We start from the raw sequence: 21,224 nt of genomic DNA on the forward strand, positions 1-21,224 counted from the left end.
TACAGAGCAGCTCTATATTTCTCTTCTAAATCATCATCGTAAGTTATATAGAAAGTAGTCATGTAGACAGTGTAATTCAGTAGCTCCAAAGAGAGGTTACCACGGTTACCTGGAACATCAGACAGGAGGTTTGTTCCTAGGCTCATTTTACTAATACAATTACTTGTCTGAATTGAAGTGAAAATGTTCGAGTGTTATTTTTTTAACCTTGTTACTGGCATGAATTATATTTTCATTTATTCTGAAGTATTGTGAAGAATGTATTTCAAGTCTGTTCTACAGTTTTATGTCAACTAAATCCTTTGCAACATCCTTTGACCTACAGCTGAATTTTGGTGTTTATGTTCAGTGTTACTCAAGAGAAGAACGGAGTAGAAACTAGTGGTTATTGTGGTGCTGAATACTCATTATTTTATTATTAGTTTGATGTATTCCTTATAAAAGACAGTAATTCGAATGGAATGATCGTCATAAAAAGAAAACCTCAGTTAGGACTTCTTTCACCACTTATTGAAAACTGCAAGCCCCCTCCCCTACCATTTGCACCCCATTTCCTATGTATTCAGGGTTTTTCTTTCCATGCACCATCTCACACACTGTATACATGAAACTTTCCTGTGTGTTTGTTTTTTGTTTCTCTCATTCTACTAGAAGTGAGTTCCATAAGGGTGGGGATTTTAGCTTTTTTTTACTGTTCTACTCCCTATGTCTAGAAGTGACTGGCAGCACATAGTAGGTTCTCAATAGCTGTTAAATTAATGAATGAATTTACCAAAAATTATGTTTCTAGAAAATGCATCAAAGAACAAGATGAAGCAGGTATGATTAGATTTTTTAGAATAATTACTAACCTTTGTTTAACTTTTGACTCACATGTCTCAGGTATAGCAATCTAACGTAATGCTAATCAAAGCTATTAACGTGAGGATATATTTGGTGATATGTAAGTTATTTTAGGCCAGATTTACTTTATTTATCAAAAATATTCTCAAAGCCCAATTTTTAATAGCTGGTAAATATAAGACGTTAAAGTTAAGATAATCTAGCATCCTGGGTACTACTGTTTTGTATTTCCTCCTTTTATTCAACAATTTAAATTGTTGTTATTGAATTTTTTTGAAATAAATACATTAACTTTCCAGTCTTTGCAACTGGAGTACATCGAGTATTATTTATTCAAAAAAAAATTGTGGTTTGAACATTCCCTAGATACTTGACTATATTAGGGAGTTACTGTTAATTATTTTAGGTGGATAATGATACTATAGGTATATTAAAAATAGTCTTTGTCTTTTAAAATTACATACTGAAATAACTATGCATAAAATGATATGGCTGAGGGTTTTTGTTATTTTTTTCAGTCTGAGGGGAGAGTGGATAGGAACGTGCATGGGAGTAGACTGATGATCAGTGGTGCTAGGGATGAGTACCAGGGGTGAATGGTTGATATATTATTCTTTCTACTATTATGTTAGTTAAGTATTCTTCGTAATAAGAGAAAAAGGAGGAGTAAGGAGATGAAGAGCAGAGAAGGAGAAGGAGGAGGAGGAAGAGTAGAAAAGTGGAAGAAGACAAAAGTATTTATGAAAAAATAAAATAGGTGTTAGAGAGATACGTAAGCAATTCCATATAAAACAATGGACGAGACAGGGACAGTTAACATTATTGAACACTAATATATGCCAAGCACTGTTCTACCTCCTATAATCTTAGCAATAACCCTATGAGCTGGGTTTTATTATTACCACCATTTTTCAGATGAGAAAATTGAATTTCAGAGTGGCTAAGCAACTTGTCCAAAATATAAGTGGTGAAGCTGTCAAACAGTCACTGAACCTAAGACACAATTGTAACGTATGCTATTATTTTGTGTATCTCTAAGAAACAGAAACTTAGAATTTTTATGTTATACTTATTGTAAGATCTCTTTTAGTCTGCTTTATGCAAAGCTTATTATGTTGTTACATATCAGTCTTGTTTATATATAAAAAGGAAACTACAAAGTAAATGAAGCTCTTTCTAAAACATTTTACATTCAGAGGATGACTCATTCAAATCTTTTTGACTCAGAATTTTTAATGCCTGTATTTCTCCATGCAGTGTCACCCTCTGTGCTATTAACAAAATAGTGATGCAATTTTCATTAAAACAATGTTCCATTTTAGTCCCTGGGACTTTCTTCCAAGCCAGTGGTGGCCATTCTGCAAGTTTTGATACTAATCATTTCCTGAACTTACCAAAAGATATCAATGGAGGGTTTTCAACAACAAACAAGACTCCTCATTCTTCCTAAAATGATCTTTAAATGGTTCAATAACTTGAAACCTGAGGGACGAAAGTTGTCTAGTCAGGCCCAGAATAATAACCAAGTTAATGCATGCACAAACAAGTAAAATTGTGTCACAACTGACACCTGAACTATGGTAACTGTAAAAACTAACTACGAACGCACAGATATTAAAATAGAAAAAAAGTCTAAAAATAGATAAAATAAGGTAAATTGATTAGCTGGGTAGTAGGTACACAGGTGCTCACTACTGTGTATAAAATAATATGTCATAACAGGCCAGGCATAGTGAGTGGTTCACGTAATCCCAGTACTTTAGGAGGCCGAGGTAGGGGGATCACTTGAGGCCAGGAGTTCAAGACCAGCCTGGGCAACATGGCAAAATTCCGTCTCTACTAAAGATACAAAAATTAGCCAGTTGTGGTGCTGCAAGCCTGTAATCCCAGCTACTTGGGAAGCTGAGGCACTAGAATAGATTGAACCTTGGAGGTGGAAGTTGCAATGAGCTGAGATTGCGCCACTGCACTCCATCCCAGGTGACAGGTGACAGGGACTGTCTCAAAACAATGAAAATGAAAAATGTCATAAGAAAAGATTAGATGAGATGTGAAAGACATGTTGGGTCTTGCTTCTGCCAAATCGTGTATTTCATGCTTTTTTTTTTTTTTTTTTACTTTATTCTAGAGAAGAATAGGTGTCTAAAGACAGTTCTTAAAAGGGGCAGAGACTAAACCAGATATGCTCGATTTTAAAAGATAACTCTGATAGCAGTGTGTAATATAGACTATTTCTCGCTGGACACAACATTAAGAAGTAAGAAAAACACAGAAGGCATCAAAGAAAAGGGGAAGTTCATTGACTATCAACAGTGGGACTGGGAAAATGACGACCCTGCTAATATTTCATGAATAAATATTGGACATATCTTGGCTTGTTACTTACCTCATCTTTCTAAAAGTCAAATGTATAAAATATTGTTTGATCTCAATGTGTTTTGATATCTAAATGTAATGATAATTCTGTTTCTTTTAGAGTTTCTGGTTGTAAGTTGGAATGTAGTCCAATATCTAGATATAATTAGGGAACAATTGACACAATTATACTAAATAAAATATTTAGTTTTGAAATCTATAAAGCATACACTCTCAAATGCAAATACTTTAAAGGTACTGTTTATGTGCAAAGATATTGTTCAAATATAGTTCTATAGCACAAGTGATATGTGTGTGCAGTTTTGTAGTTTTTCAGTATCAAAGTCCCATGATAATTGGCATATGGTGTTCTATAATAATACATAATAACATATGATGACTGTAATTAAGTGCAGTGACTTAGACTTTGTCTTTTAATGACCCTCAGTGGATACTGAATGAAAGGTAAATTAAAGGTTCATTAAGCTGTGTTCAATAGAAAAAAAATGTTTTCAAATGGCAGATGTACTGTGAAGTTAAATGAATTTTATTCAGATCTGCTCTTCTGTATTTTTTCAAATGACAAGCCTAGTCTGAAGTATTTGAAGTGTTTTAGGAAATTTAAAAAATGAGCATTTATTTCAGCTTATTTAATATTTCAAGCTTTAAATGTGTAAAACGATTGGAGAGACCCTAGAAATTTGGCTGTTTCTACATCAAAGTGGCCTTTAGTGTGGCTTTGTTTGACGTTCTAGTCTGTGAAAGGAAAAGAAAAGCAGAAAGGAAAACAACAATAATGTACACAGTGAAGTTAAACAAAACATCTGGAGCACCCAGTATTTTTTCCGTGTATGCTAGCCAGCATTTAAATTTAAAGTCTTGTGTTTCAAAATATGTATGGGAAATCAGAAAAAAATCACAGGCAGAAATATTTCTAACTTTGTTTCTTATGCATAAAGCTGTCAAAAAGGCATTTAAAATATTTAAAATGTAATGAATTTGAGCTTTTTAATATATTTACCATTCCATTAGCATTATTAAACAGAAGTATAAAGGCAATGCTATTTATATAGTAATATCATAAATATACTATAAATGGCATGTGAATATTTACTAATAGAGGCAGCTGCTCTTTTAAAAAAATTGCTTGTGGTTCTGATATCCTATATATAATGTTTTACTTTTTTAAAAATATAATCATTATGGGTGTGCATGGTTCTTTTATTAGGAAATGCATGTATACGGAAAAAGAAGAAGGAATCTTTACCAATGGACTACAGGAAGTGAAAGCAAAACGTTTCCCTACCTGAAAGTTTCCTTGTGTGAGACTGGAATATATAGTTTTACCTCTGTACACCATTTTTGCTCTAGCCTATATGGACTACCTACACTCATAATGAGAATAATGATCAAATGAAGGAGTTCGGTTTTGTTTTGTTCTTTTCTTTCTTTTTTTTTTTTTCTTGAGACAATCTCACTCCGTCACCCAGGCTGGTGTGCAGTGGCATAATCTCTGATCACTGCAACCTCTGCCTCCCAGGTTCAAGCAATTCCCCTGCCTCAGCCTCCTGAGTAGGTGGAATTACAGGCATGCACCACCATGCCTGGTTAATTTTTGTATTTTTATTACAGACGAAGTTTTGCCATGTTGCCCAGGCTGGTCTCAAACTCCCGACCTCAAGTGATCTGCCCGCATTGGCCTCCCAAATATTGCTGGGATTACAGGCTTGAGCCACTGCACACAGCCAAATGAAGGAGCTTTATCTTACGTTTAGGAAAGAAAGTTGTAGCAAAATGCAGCGCAGCAATAATAAGAGTATGTAATAATTTTAAAAAATTATTTAGATATAAATTAAAAACCATAAAATTCACTCATATGAAGTGTGCAATTTGATGGTTTTTAATTTATTCAGTTACAAAACCATCACCATGATCCAATCAGTTGTAGAACATTTCATCGTACCAAAAATAAAGTCCCCATTCATTAGCAGTTACACTGTCACTCCCCAATTTCTCCAGTTTTCCTGCCCCAGCCCCATGCAACCAGTAATCTTTCTGTCTCTATATCTGCCTATTCTGGACTTAAATGTAAATAAAAGTATCCAATACGTGGTCTTTTGTGACTGACTTCTTTCACGTAGGAAGATGTTTTTGAGATTCATCCATTTTTTACTATGTATCAGTACTTAATTCATTTTTATTGCTGAATAATATTCCCATGTATGGATGTATCACATTTTATTTATCCTTCCGTCAGTCTATGGATATTTCAGTTGTTTCAACTTTTTGGCTACTATGATTAATGCTGCTCTAAAACATTTGTGTACAAGTGTTTGTGTTATGTTTTCATTTCTCTTGGGTATATACCTAGAAGTAGAATATTGGATCATATAGTAACACAATGTTTAACTTTTTGAGGAAACCTCAGACTATTTTCCAAAGCAGCTGCACCATTATACATTCCCACTAGCAACGTATGGGGTTCTAATTTCTCTAATATCCTTTCCAACACTTATCATCTGTCTTTTTGGTTATTACTACCTTAGTGAGTGTGAATTGGTTTTTTATTGTGGTTTTTACTTGTGTTTTCCTAATGATTAATGCTATTTAGTTTCTTTCCATGTGCTTATTAGCCATTTGTATATCTTCTTTCGAGGAATTTATTTTCAGATCATTTGTCATTTTTTAAATTGGATTGTCTTTGTATTAACAAGTTGCAAGAGTTCTTTAGATAATCTGGACTCAAATATTTTATTAGATATATGTTTTGAAACTGTGTTCTCCCATTGGTGGGTTGCCTTTTCACTTTCTTGATTATGTTCTCTGAAGCACAAATGTGTTTTTGTTGAAATCCAGTTTATTCATCTTTTTTGTTGTTGTTGCTTGTGCTTTCTGCAATAAAGTTTTAAGAGAAAGAAATGTTGAAAAAGTATGCTAGGTCTTAAGTATATATTTTGAAAAATTTTTCTAACATGTTTTTGGATAAAGGCATCCAAATTACTAACTATCTGGGTCTAAAGCAGGAGATTCGAGATATTGACATAAACAACTCCATATCAAAGAATGATTTTTAATTTTTGGAATAAGATATAGACTAGGGAAAGTGACTATTTATGTGCATATCTTCTGGATCAAAATAAAAGGAATATGCAAGCTTCTTTTTTAAGCTCAATAGGAAGGATTCCTGAAGGAGCAAAGACCATAAGAGAGCTAACTGCACGTGCACACACACGTACGTAAACACATACTCAAACAGTTATTCATGTAAATCATTCAGGATGCCCTTGATATGCCCTCAATTTAGCTTTCTGTCTTTAATTTTTGATTCCTAGCAAATATAAGAATTGCCATACTCTAAGGGTGGTATTTCACATATTCTAGAAATATAGACTTTTTTTTTTTTTGAGATGGAGTCTCTCTTTGTCACCCAGGCTAGAGTGCAGTGGAGCGATCTCGGCTCACTGCAAGCTCCGCCTCCCGGGTTCACGCCATTCTCCTGCCTCAGCCTCCCGAGTAGCTGGGACTACAGGCGCCCGCCACGGCGCCCGGCTAATTTTTTGTATTTTTAGTAGAGGCGGGTTTTCACCGTGTTAGCCAGGATGGTCTCGATCTCCTGACCTCGTGATCCACGCACCTCGGCCTCCCAAATGCTGGGATTACAGGCGTGAGCCACTGTGCCCGGCGAACTATAGACTATTTTTAGAATAACTGTTAAGAGGTTATCTCTGTGGATATCTTAGTTAACATAACTTATTTCTGCTTTCAGTTCTGAAATTCTTAAACTGCAAATTATGCAATGAAAGTAGTTTTCAGGTTTCCAACTTTACCTTAATTCTAAACCGAATTTTCCAAGTTGGTGAGAGTCTACTGTATCAATAAGACAACTAAAATATGTGTCTTTATGAATTATCTACTCTCCCAGAGTTAGCAAGATTTGCTCATATATCATAATATAAGCTTATCGAAGCAGAATTGCAGCTGCTTGGCAGTATGAGTTTTATATACAAAGCATTGAAATCTTACACATTATTGGCTATAGGAAATGAGAATATTAGTTTTCCTAAACATTTTGCACACTGAAACATTTGTATCATCACTTATCTGTGTGGAAAGAACAAATCAAAATGGGATTCAATACCTTGGAAATCCTATATTTAGTGATTTTTAACCAAGACTAATTTGGTCCAGTGCCTAGTAAATATCTTCTATGCAGTAAATCTGCTAACTCCTGTCATTAGAATTTAAAACAATTTAGATTCATAAAACCACTTAACTATGTTGTGTAATTTTAAAGAGAAAAATATAAGATTGAATTTTGCCTTTAGAAAGATCTCTTTGGAGTTAGTGTCAGTAGTGTTGAATCATTCAGGACTGGATATTAAGTACGTAAGGGCAATAGAAGAGCCTGGAGCATATTTCATATCCCTCTATCCCTCAGCTCTTCCCCAAGGGTTCACTGCTATAGATTGTAAATGGGACACTGACCATCAGCAAATGGTTTCCACGGCTGTCAGAGCAAGACCAATAACTAGTCACCTTTCTTTTAAACCGGTTTTCCAGTAAGCATTCAAAAACATATGATTGAGGATATGAATGTAGAAAATGCATTGCTGTCATCATTATCTGAAGCAAAACAAGACAAAATTTCTATAAGTGTAATTATGTTATCAAATATAATGTGATAAATATAACACAGTGTAATTATAAATGATCATAAAATGATTAAGCCAAGTGTATACACTTTGAGTACTAATTCATCAGCGTTTAGTATAAATGATTTTGATGTTCACTGGTATCTATCTGTATATCTTTCTGGGGTAATCCAGTTATCCTGCCTCACTGTAGTAATGTCTTTAATACCAGCTTCTCCTTGATTTATATTATTTTGTGAAACTCAAATGTCATGGTGTCTTTATCCTGGAAGAATCTGGAATGACATATGAAGACCCCCTTCTTATCCTACCAATCTAAATTTCTTTCCTACTGGCCTCTAATATGTACCTTTTTCTCCATTGAGGGAGATCACTTCACTGACTCCTACATATCAATGCATATTCCCACCAGCTCTTCTTTATTATCTTTTTATTTAAGGCTTCAAAGCACAGCATTGGTTCTTGTTGAAGCCCTCTTTAACCTAACCATTTCTGATTTCTTAACGATAGACCCCACAATTTACTTCCGAACTGGTAAAGTGTACATATAGTTAGTTTTTTCTTAACTGATAGATTGTAATTTACTTGGAACCATTTATTGTACATTTTTGGTTTATATTTTCATGACTCTAATATTGTACGCATATTGTTATTGCTTAATAATCTTAAAGGCAATGATGATTGGGAGCCATTTGTGGAACACATACTCTGTCTTAAGAGCTGTGCTAAGTGATTGAAATTTTTTCACTGAAGTCTCACAGTGCCCTATAACCACTGTCATTCTCTCTCTCTCGTTCCCTTTGTGTGTGTATGTGTATGTGTGTGTGTGTGTATGTGTGTTTATTAAAACACAATAAGTGACGGAATCTTCAAGGCATCAATTTCTGGCCTAAAGTCACACTATCAGTGGCAATTTGGGGATTCATACCCATTTCTGTCTGACACCCAGTGCACAGTCTTTAGTAAATTACAATGCAAAACTGTTATTGTTTTCTACTAATAATGACATCTTTAATCTATGTATAACAGGGGCTTTAAAAGGGTCTTGTGGATTCAAGTGGAATGGAAGACTGGTTTTGGTTATTGGAGTCTGAAGTTTATTATAAATATGTAGTTTATTATTTCTATCTTATTTTGTTCATAAAGTGCATTATGCAACTAATTTGACTATCATAAAATGGGATATTTTCTAAGAATATATGAATTCAACTTTATCAAAATATGTTTAACTTGAAATTAATTCTTAGAGGTGATAAATTATGCTGGGTAAACAATATCAGTTTTACTTATGGCAATTTTGATTCCAATACAGGAGGAAGGCAGACAGGGAGAAGCACTTTATTTTTTAAGAACAGGAGATTTAGTAAAACCTAACTTTATTGCATTAATGAAAGTCAAATGTGATTTAGTTTTTTCTTTCCCTCCCTATTTTTAAAGAATAACTAAAAATATTTTCTTTTTTTGGAACAATTTGTTCATGCTTTAGGAGCTATTTAATTAAATTATTACCTGCTGGAACAGCATCTGTTTTTGTCCTAAAAATAAGCATAGCTTTCTTTTACATAGGCTTGGTAAATATGTAGAAGGTGCCAAAAAGCAATAAATACTATCAGCAGATGGACTGAGGCACTTCAGTCTCTACACAGTCAGTCTTTATTGTTCTGGGCATAGCTAAATGGATTTTTCTGGATAGATTCCTTTCAAAATGTATTATGTACAGGAGGAGAGTTGGATTAATTTTCTCACATAGATCTCTTCACATTATCCCCCTTGAGATGTAAGATACAGGACCTGGTTTAGTTTTCAACTCTGTGTTGTCCACATAAGAAACACCAGTTCTGAAAGGCATATGTAAATAACAACTTTATAATGTGTTTAAGGAACTTGATGTTGGTAAATTCTAGGATGGATTTTCCAGGAACCACCCTCCAGAGGCTGCTTCCTTCTTTCTTCCTTCTCATCTTTTGTCCCCTGTTCCCCCGGAAACAACCTTCACATCTGACACACAGCCTGGAAGTTCATCCTCTCATTCCAGTCTTTGTTTTCTTTTTCAGAGATTGGAGAAATTCAAGCACTCATGATGCATATTTATCTCCCAACATCTGCAGTGTTCAGAATTTGGGGTGTCTGGGCGTGTGCATACATGTGAAAGAATGATTCATTTAATTAACGTTAACCAACTTTTATTCATCAGTTGTGACCTTTCAGTAATAATAAAATATTAATAACTAGTACTTAAACCACACATTTATAAAATGATTTCATTTAGTTTTCACCAAAAAAAATCTAGTTTTACCTATGAAGAACAGTGACTTTTTCTGGAGTTCATAGCTAGTAATTGTGGATGCAGAATTCAAACCTAGCTGTCTTGACTCCTAATAGTTTATAATTATTTTATAATTAAAACTAATAGTTACATAGGATTTTATAGTTTATCAAATGCCTTTAATTTAATATTTAACTTTATTCATCAATTAATTTTCAGAAGTATGTAGATGAGGTATTACTATCCTATTCTGAAGGCTGAATGAGTTAAAATACCTACCACCAAACTTGTTGCTGGTAAAATGACAATTATCTGACCCAAAATTCTATACTTTCTTTAAGATGCTATACCTATTTTGAAACTATTATTTATTGAGCAACTACCAGGTTCCAGATACAGCGCTAAGCTTCAAAGATAAAAGATAACTCAACAAATTAAGAACTGAACCTGAGGGCAAATCAGGCTGAGGAAGAACATGCACTGTGTATGCCGAGAAGAAGCTTGAAATCAGGGAGTAGTGGGAAGGATCAGAATGGAAGTGTAGGCCAGGACATGAAGGTCTTATATGCTTTGGAAAGGAATCTGCAATTTTATGTTGGTGCAGAATAGGATTTTAAGCAGTCAAGTGATGTGATCAGGTGTGTGTTTTGGAAAAAATAGCTTGAGTGGTGGTCTGGTTATTTATTGCTGAGTAAAAAGCTACCCCCCAAATTTTGTGGCTTTGACAGCAGTCATTTAATTATGTCTCATTATTTGATCAGGAATACAGGCAGGTCTCAGCTGGCCTATTTTTTTGCTCCACATGGCATTGACTGCTTGTCACTTGGTAGCGATCAGCTGCCGGCAAGTTGGGTCTAAAGGGTCGAGATAGCTTCATTCATATGCCTGGAACTTTAGTTTGGGTGTCTAGCTCTGCTGCTTCTCCTCGTGGTCTCAGGGCCTCTCCATATGGTCTCTCCAACAAAGTAGTTTAATTTCTTGGTACTCAGGGCTATAAGAATTCCTTCTTTGTAAGTTATTCATGCCTTAATTACAGTCTGCATAAGACACCTCAGCATATAAATGTCTCACTATCAATCTGCTTAAGAACCATCACATTTAAATTAAATGATTTCTCTTAAGGTATATATGTATTCCTAAAAGAGCATAGATATAAATGTGAGGAGATTATTGAGTTATTTGGGGTTTTTCAAAGTTACGCATTTAGTCAAACATTTCTGTGGTCAAAGAATTATCATAAGACTACAGGCAATAAAAATATGAATAAGGTATAATTCTTGGAGGTGGAACCAAAATGAAAAAGTCAATTGAGAAAAAATTTAAAGGTAATTAAAAATCACAAACATAGGCAGTTGGTAGCCATGTGGTTGGATGCAAAATGTGTTTGGGGGAACTACTAGCAGTACGTGAGGACAGAGTATAGAGACTGTATGTTTGTATGAATGTGTGAGTTCATATCTTCTCCCTACTTTTTCTCCAAAAGACTCCAAGGGCGCTATACACTGATGGAGCCTATGGGAAAAGGTCATACTACAAAATTTTGTTAGGGCTTGATTTTGGGGAAGTTGAGTTATGTTCTCCTGTGTATTTTATTTTGGTGGAATTCCCAATTTGCCTTCATGGGATTCCTTCCTGTCATTATGGCAGAGTGGTTAAGAACACAGATTCCATAACCACACGGCCTTGGGTTCGAAACTTGCATGATTGAGGGCAAGTTACTTCAACTCTGTCTCTTAATAGTAACTTCATGGTGTCGTTCTGATGTTAACTTACTTAATATAAATAGAGGGCATAGAGTGCTAAATAATTGTGTGCTGTTTTTCCTGTTAATACTATACTCTTTACCGTAGTGAAACTAGTTAAGGTCATTACTGCTTATAACTTGTGTTGCAGTGCATGTTCCTATTTTTATTGTTATCATAATTTTTGTTTTCTTCATCTTTAAAGGTTATGCTCCTTTTTTCTGCAGAAACCAAGTTATTTCCATTATGGGGGCTCTCAAGTGTTATAAATTACTCAGGAAACAAAGAGACCTGAGTAACTTTATTTTTAAACCCTTTGCAGGATTATAAAAATAAGGAAAGAGAGAGAAGACAACGGATACATTTTGGTTCCTAAGACATGTGGTTAAGATATAGATATTTTTGCCAGTCGCGGTGGCTCACGCCTGTAATCCCAGCACTTTGGGAGGCCTAGCAGATCATGAGGTCAAGAGATCGAGACCATCCTGGCCAACATGGTGAAACCCTGTCTCTACTAAAAATACAAAAATTAGCTGGGCATGGTGGCATGTGCCTGTAGTCCCAGCTACTCGGGAGGCTGAGGCAGGAGAATCACTTGAACCCAGGAGGCAGAGGTTGCAATAAGCAGAGATCGTGCCACTGCACTCCAGCCTGGTGACAGAGTGAGACTCCATCTCAGAAGATATAGATATTTTATTTGGGGGTAATAGACAGGTTATAATTGTAAAGGATGATTGGAATGGAAAGTCTCACCAGTTGCAATAGTTGAAGGGAGTATTTGTGAAAGCATTAGGGAAAAGAGTCTTTCGTTTTTCATAGAGTGTCAGAGACTATGACTCCAAAACAGCAGGTTAAGGATAAGTCAAGCTTTACTATCAGTTTGAAAACTAAAGATCTGATATATTTGGAATGATAGAGGAAAACATAGTCTTTGTTTTGACAGTCATTTCTAAGAAAACATCCACTGGTTCTTTATAGTTTACAATATATCATTCTCAACACATAGGAAAGAATGAAATGAACTTTTTATGGTCAGTTATTTTATTATTTTAAAATGGATGCCTTAGATATCAACAGTGAAACTTGTAAGAATAGAAAGGTAAAAATGAAATAATGAGAAAGGCTGAAGGGAGGAAAACATATATAAATTTAAAAATAGAGGGAGCATTACAGAAACAAAAAAAAAGAAACGGGAAAAGAAGCTAAAATTCATGTTGATAAAGTAATAATATTTGACATTTTAAAATTAAAGGTTAGATGAATTCTAAAAATTTTGCATACAATATTATAATAAATGACTTTTCAAAGATGTCAATTATATAAAAGTTCTGTTAAATGTTTTATATTTAATTTCTTTGCGGCTCTTACATTTTCATGCCTTTTGCCTGACATTTAGTTTCATATCAGCATTACTTTTATGTGCCGTTGGAGGTCTTTCATTTTTTATATTCCTCTTCATAAATAAAATATAAATGACATAAGAATTGCTCATTATAGTCTTTAGTAAATTGTTTAGTTGCTTGAACTTACCCAAAACTATTAGTAGACATGTCTATAAATTTGTAATAAAGATTAACCTCTCAATGTCCAGCTGTCATACAGATATAGCTTATTGCTAGATTATTTATCATCCTTTCTTTTTAACTAAACATCTATTTTTATTAAAGATGCTAACAATAATTAGTACTATCATACATAAAGTTTACTTACAGAAAAAACTTGAATTTTGTATTATTGAAAGAATAATTATGTTACTTTTTTCAGATAAAATTCTATTTTTTTATATTAATGGGAGGCCTAGAAAAAATATTAATGTAAAATATTAAAATAAAAACCTATCCTTGTTTATCTTGAGACATAGGTATATTAATGGATGTGACTTGTTAGAAATAAGAAAGAATAGCAAAATCTTGCACAATTTGTTTCTCCCTTTTCGTATGCTGCTTAGATAATTATTGAAAAGTTGAAAAGTAGTTTAATCTTGACTTTGAGGAAGGTGGGGGGCAGCCCCTGCCCGGCCAGCTGCCCTGCCCGGGAGGGAGGTGGGGGGCAGCCCCCGCCCTGGCAGCTGCCCCTTCCGGGAAGGAGGTTGGGGGCGCCTCTGCACGGCCGCCCCGTCTGGGAAGTGAGGAGCGCCTCTGCCCGGCCGCCACCCCGTCTGGGAGGTGTACCCAACGGCTCATTGAGAACGGGCCATGATGACGATGGCGGTTTTGTCGAATAGAAAAAGGGGGAAATGTGGGGAAAAGAAAGAGAAATCAGATTGTTACGGTGCCTGTGTAGAAAGAAGTAGACATAGGAGACTCCATTTTGTTCTGTACTAAGAAAAATTCTTCTGCCTTGGGATGCTGTTAATCTATAACCTTACTCCCAACCCCGTGCTCTCTGAAACATGTGCTGTGTCCACTCAGGGTTAAATGGATTAAGGGCGGTGCAAGATGTGCTTTGTTAAACAGATGCTTGAAGGCAGCATGCTCATTAAGAGTCATCACCACTCCCTAATCTCAAGTACCCAGGGACACAAACACTGCAAAAGGCCGCAGGGTCCTCTGCCTAGGAAAACCAGAGACCCTTGTTCACATGTTTATCTGCTGACCTTCCCTCCACTATTGTCCTATGACCCTGCCAAATCCCCCTCTGCGAGAAACACCCAAGAATGATCAATAAATACTAAAAAAAAAAAAAAAATCTTGACTTTGTCATCAGTTAATTGCAAGTTAAGTTTTATACTTTCTTAGTAATGAATGAACTTCACAATTCTTGGTTTTCTTTCCATTACTGTATTCCTACTACATAGGAAAATATAATAATTCACTTAAACTATTTTTTAGATATAAAATTAATATATATGATCTTTAGTTTATAAGGAACACACCATGCAGTTAATCTAGAACTGAATCGTATAATGGTAGTATTTTGGGTTAAATTACCAATTTTAATTTTCTTTAGATTGTAGCCTAACAGTGTGTAAGCTGAATACTAAAATTTTAGATTTGGATCTTACTCTTGGGTCCTTAAAGAATAGATTTTCAGAATTTACCCAATATAGATTTGGGAGGTTAACATAATTTTGTTACTAACAGAATTTTAAATGAACATAGACATACTGTGCAAATGTGTTTCTCTGAGCTGCCTCCTTCTTTCCCACGACTTAACCACAGTATCATGATATATTAACACTGCTTCCTAAAAGAACAAGTATGAGAAAAGCTATTTCGGAAAATAAAAAGTGCAGATGCTAGATGTACTGAATTACCACTGTGGGCCTTAAATAGTCTTTGTGTGTTATGATTTTAGGAAACAGAGGAATATAAGTTTAGAATAAAGCACTTCTAGTTTGTAGAAACCTGTTACTTTTTGAAAGTAAAGATATTTAAAAATTAAACCAATAAAGTACCTTTGAAACATCTGACAAATAGAGTGCTTTAGTAGCCTTGTGTAGATACAAGCTTCAACTCTCTGTTCTTGGAAATCCAAAAGCCATAGTCAAAAAGCAAAATTCACCCTGGCTGAAAAGATGAAAAATTGCAGTGTATCTATCAAGCTATGAGGCTCCTCCTGGCAGATAGCTCTCAAAGAGCCAAGTGGTGATTGTCTTGAGGTGTTAACTCTTGACACACTTTGAAGCCTTCTTTTTCCAGTGTAAACTACACATAGTAGGGAGTGGACAGGATGAGCCAAAGGGTTTTAATATCTGAAAACAGGTCGGCAGCAGGTTGAATGTGAACTGTAACTGTCACGTTCTTAGCAGAGTTGCTTTGCTCTTTGTCCCTCAACAGCAGGAGAAAAAAAAAATTGTAAATGTTGTTAAGAAGAGACAATAAAGTAGAGGTTGTGGTCTTTTCCTCAGGGCACTGTGCTTGGAAGCAATTCTTCCTCATTCAAAACCCCAGTGCCAGGAAACATAGCCTGCCAGAGTGCTGTGGAGGGAAAATAAAAAGATCTGTCAGGTCCTGAATATAGTCAGAGCAGATCCGGAGATCTGAGGATCCACATAGGACCATTAAGATTGAAGGACCCTGGAGACTCCTGGTGCTTAGTGTCACTTTGGTACCATAACCAGGGATTAATAAGCCAATAAGATGCATTTGCTAACATCATGCTAACTCTGGGAACTCTTAGAAAGCCTGGATGTTTAATATTTAAAAGAGTAGGTTTTGAGATTTAACATGCCAGCTCTTCTACTGACTAGCTGTGAGAACTTGGGAAAATAATTGCTGAGCCTCAGATAACCTCATCTATAAAACGGGGATAATAATAGCACTTAACATAGGATTGTTTCATTAAATGACATAATGGAGGTAAAGACCTAACTTTATAGTAATTCTTGGCTCATTTTAAGAGTTCAGTGAATTGTGAATTAGCATATAATTTTGGATGATACATCACGGGGATATTGTCACTCTGTACATCAAAATCTAAGTGCAAAAGATAAAAAAGACATTAATAGATTTCTCTGACTAGATAGAGCATATTCTCAATACAGAAATCTGCAACTGCAGAAAAAGATAACAGAAAAAAAATAAGATTAAAAACAAACCCTTCAGCTAAGACTGACAGCCTTATATATTAACAACTGAGATCAGGCAAATGCTGATGGAACTCAAGAAGACCCTGTAGACAACCCTCTTTGCTATGCCTATAGTGAAGCTCAGAACTACATTAAAACTCTATTACAGTGGCTTTCTTTTAGCCTGAATATTAAAATTTTTTCTCCTCCACTCTTTTTTTATTTTGTAGGTTTGTGACTGTATTTATCTCATGTATGTGTGTTTCTAGTGTAAGCCACTTCCTACACTCTGAAGGTAGAAAGTATGTAAATTTGATAGAAGTAAGTACAGTAAATACTTCTAGAAACAAGCAGGAAAAGATACTCTGGAATCTAGGTGGAGGTGGAATTGGACAACAAAAAGGACCAAGAAAAAAGGAGCCCATGGCAGGAACAGGAATTATTTACACACCCCTGAGAAAAAGAGTTTTGTGATATTAGTGAGACTTAAACTTATGTGGTAGATATCCTAAATAATACCAAGTGTTCACACTACCAGTTCAGGACACCCATAAAATTTATTGCTTTGGTTCATACTAATCAGCTCTTCTGCTTGCCAAATCCTGAATTGAATTATATAATTCTGATATTTAAAAACTTTACCATAAATATAGGAACTCAGGTGGGCCCAACTAACCATCCATTTAGGGTGTGTTACACAAATTGCAGTTGCACACAGGGCCCCAAAGGTTGGCCTACTCGGGGAACTAGCAGGTGCTCATGCATATGCAAGTGATCTAAAACAAATTTACACGAACTGACTGGATTTCACCAATGATTTTTTTTTTTTTTCAAATGGCTTTGACTACATTTTGCAATCTATAGCTCATTAATTTGACATTCTATAAGCATACCTTTTACATGTCATTTAGTGATCAACATAACTCAGGCTTCAGGGTGAAGTTTTAGTTTATGCTATCCAACTTGATTATCCACTATGCCTAAATTCAGTGTACTACTCATTTTAGAGTAGGCACTGACTAATTTATTTTTCTAAAAATAAAGCACAAATAATAATTTCCTTTAGTTTATATATCCTATTTAATCTATTAGTGAAGCATGAGCAACAAATAATTATTTCTTTTATGTGGTTGATGTACAAAATTGCAATTAAATAAAGAATTCTTGATGCATTTACAGATACTATAGCAGTTGCCAAGACCATTTCACTAAAACCACAAATGGAAAAAAAAAATATCATTATACTGAAGAATTAAGTCAGGAAACAGAGTCTTCTGAATTACTATTTTTATAGTTTTATTTTTTGCCTTGCTCTCAAAGGTGATAACATTAAAGCTTTCAACAACAAAAATTTATTCCACAAACATGGACTTTATTTGTATAAAGTAGGTTTATACTGAAAAATTTATGTCAAATGATTTTGCCTATAAAGAATATTCTTAAACTTAGATTTAAAAATTCCTATGGGTACTATGTAGTTCACTGTTGCAGTACCTAAAGCAATACTCCACAAAGATGCATAATGAATGTCTTTTGATGATGCCCTGACATTTCTAAGAAATGCCTTTGCCTCAAATCAATCCACTCAAACCAGCAAATGATTTGACATTGAAAGCTTCAGGAAACACTATATGAATATTTTTATCATTTTACAATAAAGATTTAATCATGGATTGTCATAGGAAATTGAGATTCTGCCTTACGTTTTAAAGCTAATCTGCTACAGTCATTCATTTATTTTACTTGTAAAATAACTTTTACAAGTAGGAAAGCCTTTATATGTGTTCTTAATTCTAATAAGATCTGTACAATCTTTTCTACTGTTTGAGTTAAAATATTATCAGTAACATTACAGTCAATGAATCAAGTCAAACTTCTTTGATAAACATGGTGTTCTACAACAAACATTTGTAACTCAGAATTACGATTACACATCACCAATTCCTGGAATATTAAACAGAATTCTTTACGATGGAAAAGCTCTGTTGTTCTTTGAGTAAATAGACCAAAAATCACGCTGTAATAAGATATAGTCAAATGTAATAATGAATTTTATATAAATGTTAGCCAAACTTCTCTTTTATATATCTGAACCATAGCTAATGATTAACAAGATGCTTCCCATTTTCAAAGGCATTTGGTACACAGCTTTATTTCTCAACATCTCCAGTTCTTTGTTATTAAAGCCTGAGGTCTCAGGTCATAGGTTAATTTAGTTAACCATGTATTTTAAACTTGTAAGCTCCGAATATTTCTATTTTCTTAGCTCTATAGAATTCGTGGAAAAAAATAGTGAATGACTGCAATTATTATTATTAGTGTATCGCTAATGTGTTAGACTATGTTTTGAGCACATTAAATAATTTATCTCATTTACTCTTCATAATAACTTCAAAAATGTGGTACTGTTATTATTTCTGTTTGACAAATGTGAAATTTAAGCATAAATTTTAAGTATTTAAGCATAAGTATTATGCATAATTTTATGCATAAAATTAAGCATAAGTATTAAGTGTCTGGCTTAAATTACATAGCAAAGCCAGGATTTGAACCAGATAGCCTCACTATGAAGTCCACTCATTTAGAGATTTACAAGGTCAGAGCATTCATGTAATAAATTCTCTCATTATGACTGCTGAACAAGAAAGAAATACTGCTGTGATCATATTCGTAAGTGGCATAAGTAATATGTAACATTTAAAAAATACTTTTGTCTAATCTGTATTATCTAAAATATTTGCCAGACACTGTGTTAGGCTAGGTCTGCAGCAACCAGAGATTATATTTTACATATTAAATTTTCATTTTATTTCCATACTTATCTTTATTTCCATATAATTTACTTTGTTTAAGCCAGTATTTGTGAAATAGCATTCAGAAGAATCAGTTTATTTTAAACTATCATATGTTGAATATAGATGGATATTCATTATTATTAATCTAAGTCTGTCACAGTCCAGAAAAATACCATTCAGTTCAACTTGTATCTGTTTTATTTTTATAATAGAGGGTTAAGTGTATGTAAAAGATAAATGTCTTAGTATGTTGAATTTTAAAAACTGGACTTTGGTTGTAGGACTGGATGGAAAGAGATGTCACCTAAGTGAATAAGATCTGTTGAAAATATGGAAAATATATTACACTTTTCATAATAATTGCATTTTATAAAACAGACCATGTGGCACAATATAACATGTAAGGGTGTTACAGATATTTCCATCCGTAGAAATGTCACAAGTTTCTATAAATTCCTCTATACTAAAGTATATCTCTTTTAGATAATTATTCATGCAGATTATAAAATCTACTACATGTACTTTTAACACTCACATGGGGTAATCTTAAAATAACATGACAATACAAACTAACCAAATCATCTGCATCAGTAATAAAAAATTGAATGGCATTATTATGTGATTATGTGTAAGACATGCTGATTTTGCTGAATATTTGTCTTTAAATATAAAATTTTCATGTTACTAGGGAATTTGAAGCTTCTGATAAAAAGAAACGTGATATGTTTTTGTCTCACAGGGCAGAGGTGTTTTTAAGACAGCTACATTCTTGATGGGAACCATAGAATAATTTATGCTATCTCAAAGCTGAATGTTACTAAAGTTTTATTTATTTGATAGTTTCTTTTTTTGTTGAGTTCATTTTATTTTTTTATATATATATATATATGTTTTAAGTGAAGCAAACAAAACTATCAGGGCAGAGATTTATGTTTATTTTTGCAAAATGTCTATACTATTTTTAAGCTAAATAATTTTATAGAAATAGTTAATAATTTTATATATGTATATAATACATTTATATATACTATATTTACATGTATTTGATATATAAAATATATAAGACATATATAATTGATTTTACCAAGTTAGTGATTAAAATGCTTTATCATATATGTCATTACATACTCATTTCCGTAGTAATTTCCCTGAAATACTTTGGAGTTTGTTACACCAAGTGACTTCATCTACCTTTATCCCAGATGTGACTCTGCTGGAAGATAGAATTTAGTGAAAATGTAATAATGTGTAATGAATCCAAAAGTGGTAGTAAGGGTGTCAGGCAGATATCCATCATAGTGAGGAGTTAATATGTGTATCTGCATTACATTCTAATTGATGGCTCTGTCTGATGTTTGAAGACCGTTAAATTGCTGATGTACATGTGATGGAATGCGTATTGTCAGGCTAGAGATGAAAACTCTGCCTCACCATTGCAGTTGGCTTTTAAATGATTTATAGAGAGGTGACTTTGAATGTTTGTATTAGAGGTCAGAATTAGAGATCTCACATTTCTGTAGTAACTCCCATGTGTCAAGTCTTTTTTGAGCATAAACCAAGCTCTACGATTCAATGTTTTTTAAAAAAAAACCTTTAGAGAGAGAGACTCTGATTCATTAAAATGGGAGAAAAAAATCTAGAGAACTGCATGGAAAAAATGTCTGAGTAAATTAATCAGGAATGCATAAGCTGAACAGTTAAAGAAGTAAATATAATATCATTTCAAGGTTACAGCAATTTACTGATGTTTAGGCCAAAGAGAAAAAAAAATTGACTGGTGCTAGGAAATTGTAGTTTATAAAGCACATTAAAATAAATTGGTTTCTAAAGTGTCTAGAGATTCTTTATTCTACTTTCTTCAGACTTTTTTCTATCCTCTAGTATTTTCTTTTGACAGATTCTTTAAACCCAGTGAGATTCAGTTTCTTCCTCTATAAGTTAATCAGCTGTCACCTAACCTATCTGAATAGCTATCATTAACGTCATACGTTACTTCCTTTCTCTGCTTGTCTTGATTTGACCAAAGACAGAATTCAAATGCTACACTTCCTTGAATCATTT

The 21,224-nt window shown here is 34.0% G+C and overlaps 1 protein-coding gene and 1 long non-coding RNA gene across 22 annotated transcripts in view; one reads left to right on the top strand and one right to left on the bottom strand.

Annotated features, from left to right (window-relative positions):
- NAALADL2 (N-acetylated alpha-linked acidic dipeptidase like 2) overlaps nt 1-21,224 on the top strand; it is a 1,369,567-nt gene that overhangs the window by 632,400 nt on the left and 715,943 nt on the right. The gene's annotated exons all lie outside the window — the stretch shown is intronic.
- The window catches only part of NAALADL2-AS3 (NAALADL2 antisense RNA 3), a 35,931-nt gene continuing 20,637 nt past the window's right edge, over nt 5,931-21,224 (bottom strand). Inside the window, exons 3-4 of the long non-coding RNA NR_046390.1 lie at nt 7,684-7,821; nt 5,931-6,090 (exon numbers count right to left, since the gene is read on the bottom strand). This is a non-coding gene — a long non-coding RNA (NAALADL2 antisense RNA 3). The remainder of the gene's footprint in view (nt 6,091-7,683; nt 7,822-21,224) is intronic.

The sequence above is a fragment of the Homo sapiens genome, chromosome 3 (assembly GCF_000001405.40).
Source record: "Homo sapiens chromosome 3, GRCh38.p14 Primary Assembly".
In the NCBI taxonomy this organism is placed as follows: domain Eukaryota; kingdom Metazoa; phylum Chordata; class Mammalia; order Primates; family Hominidae; genus Homo; species Homo sapiens.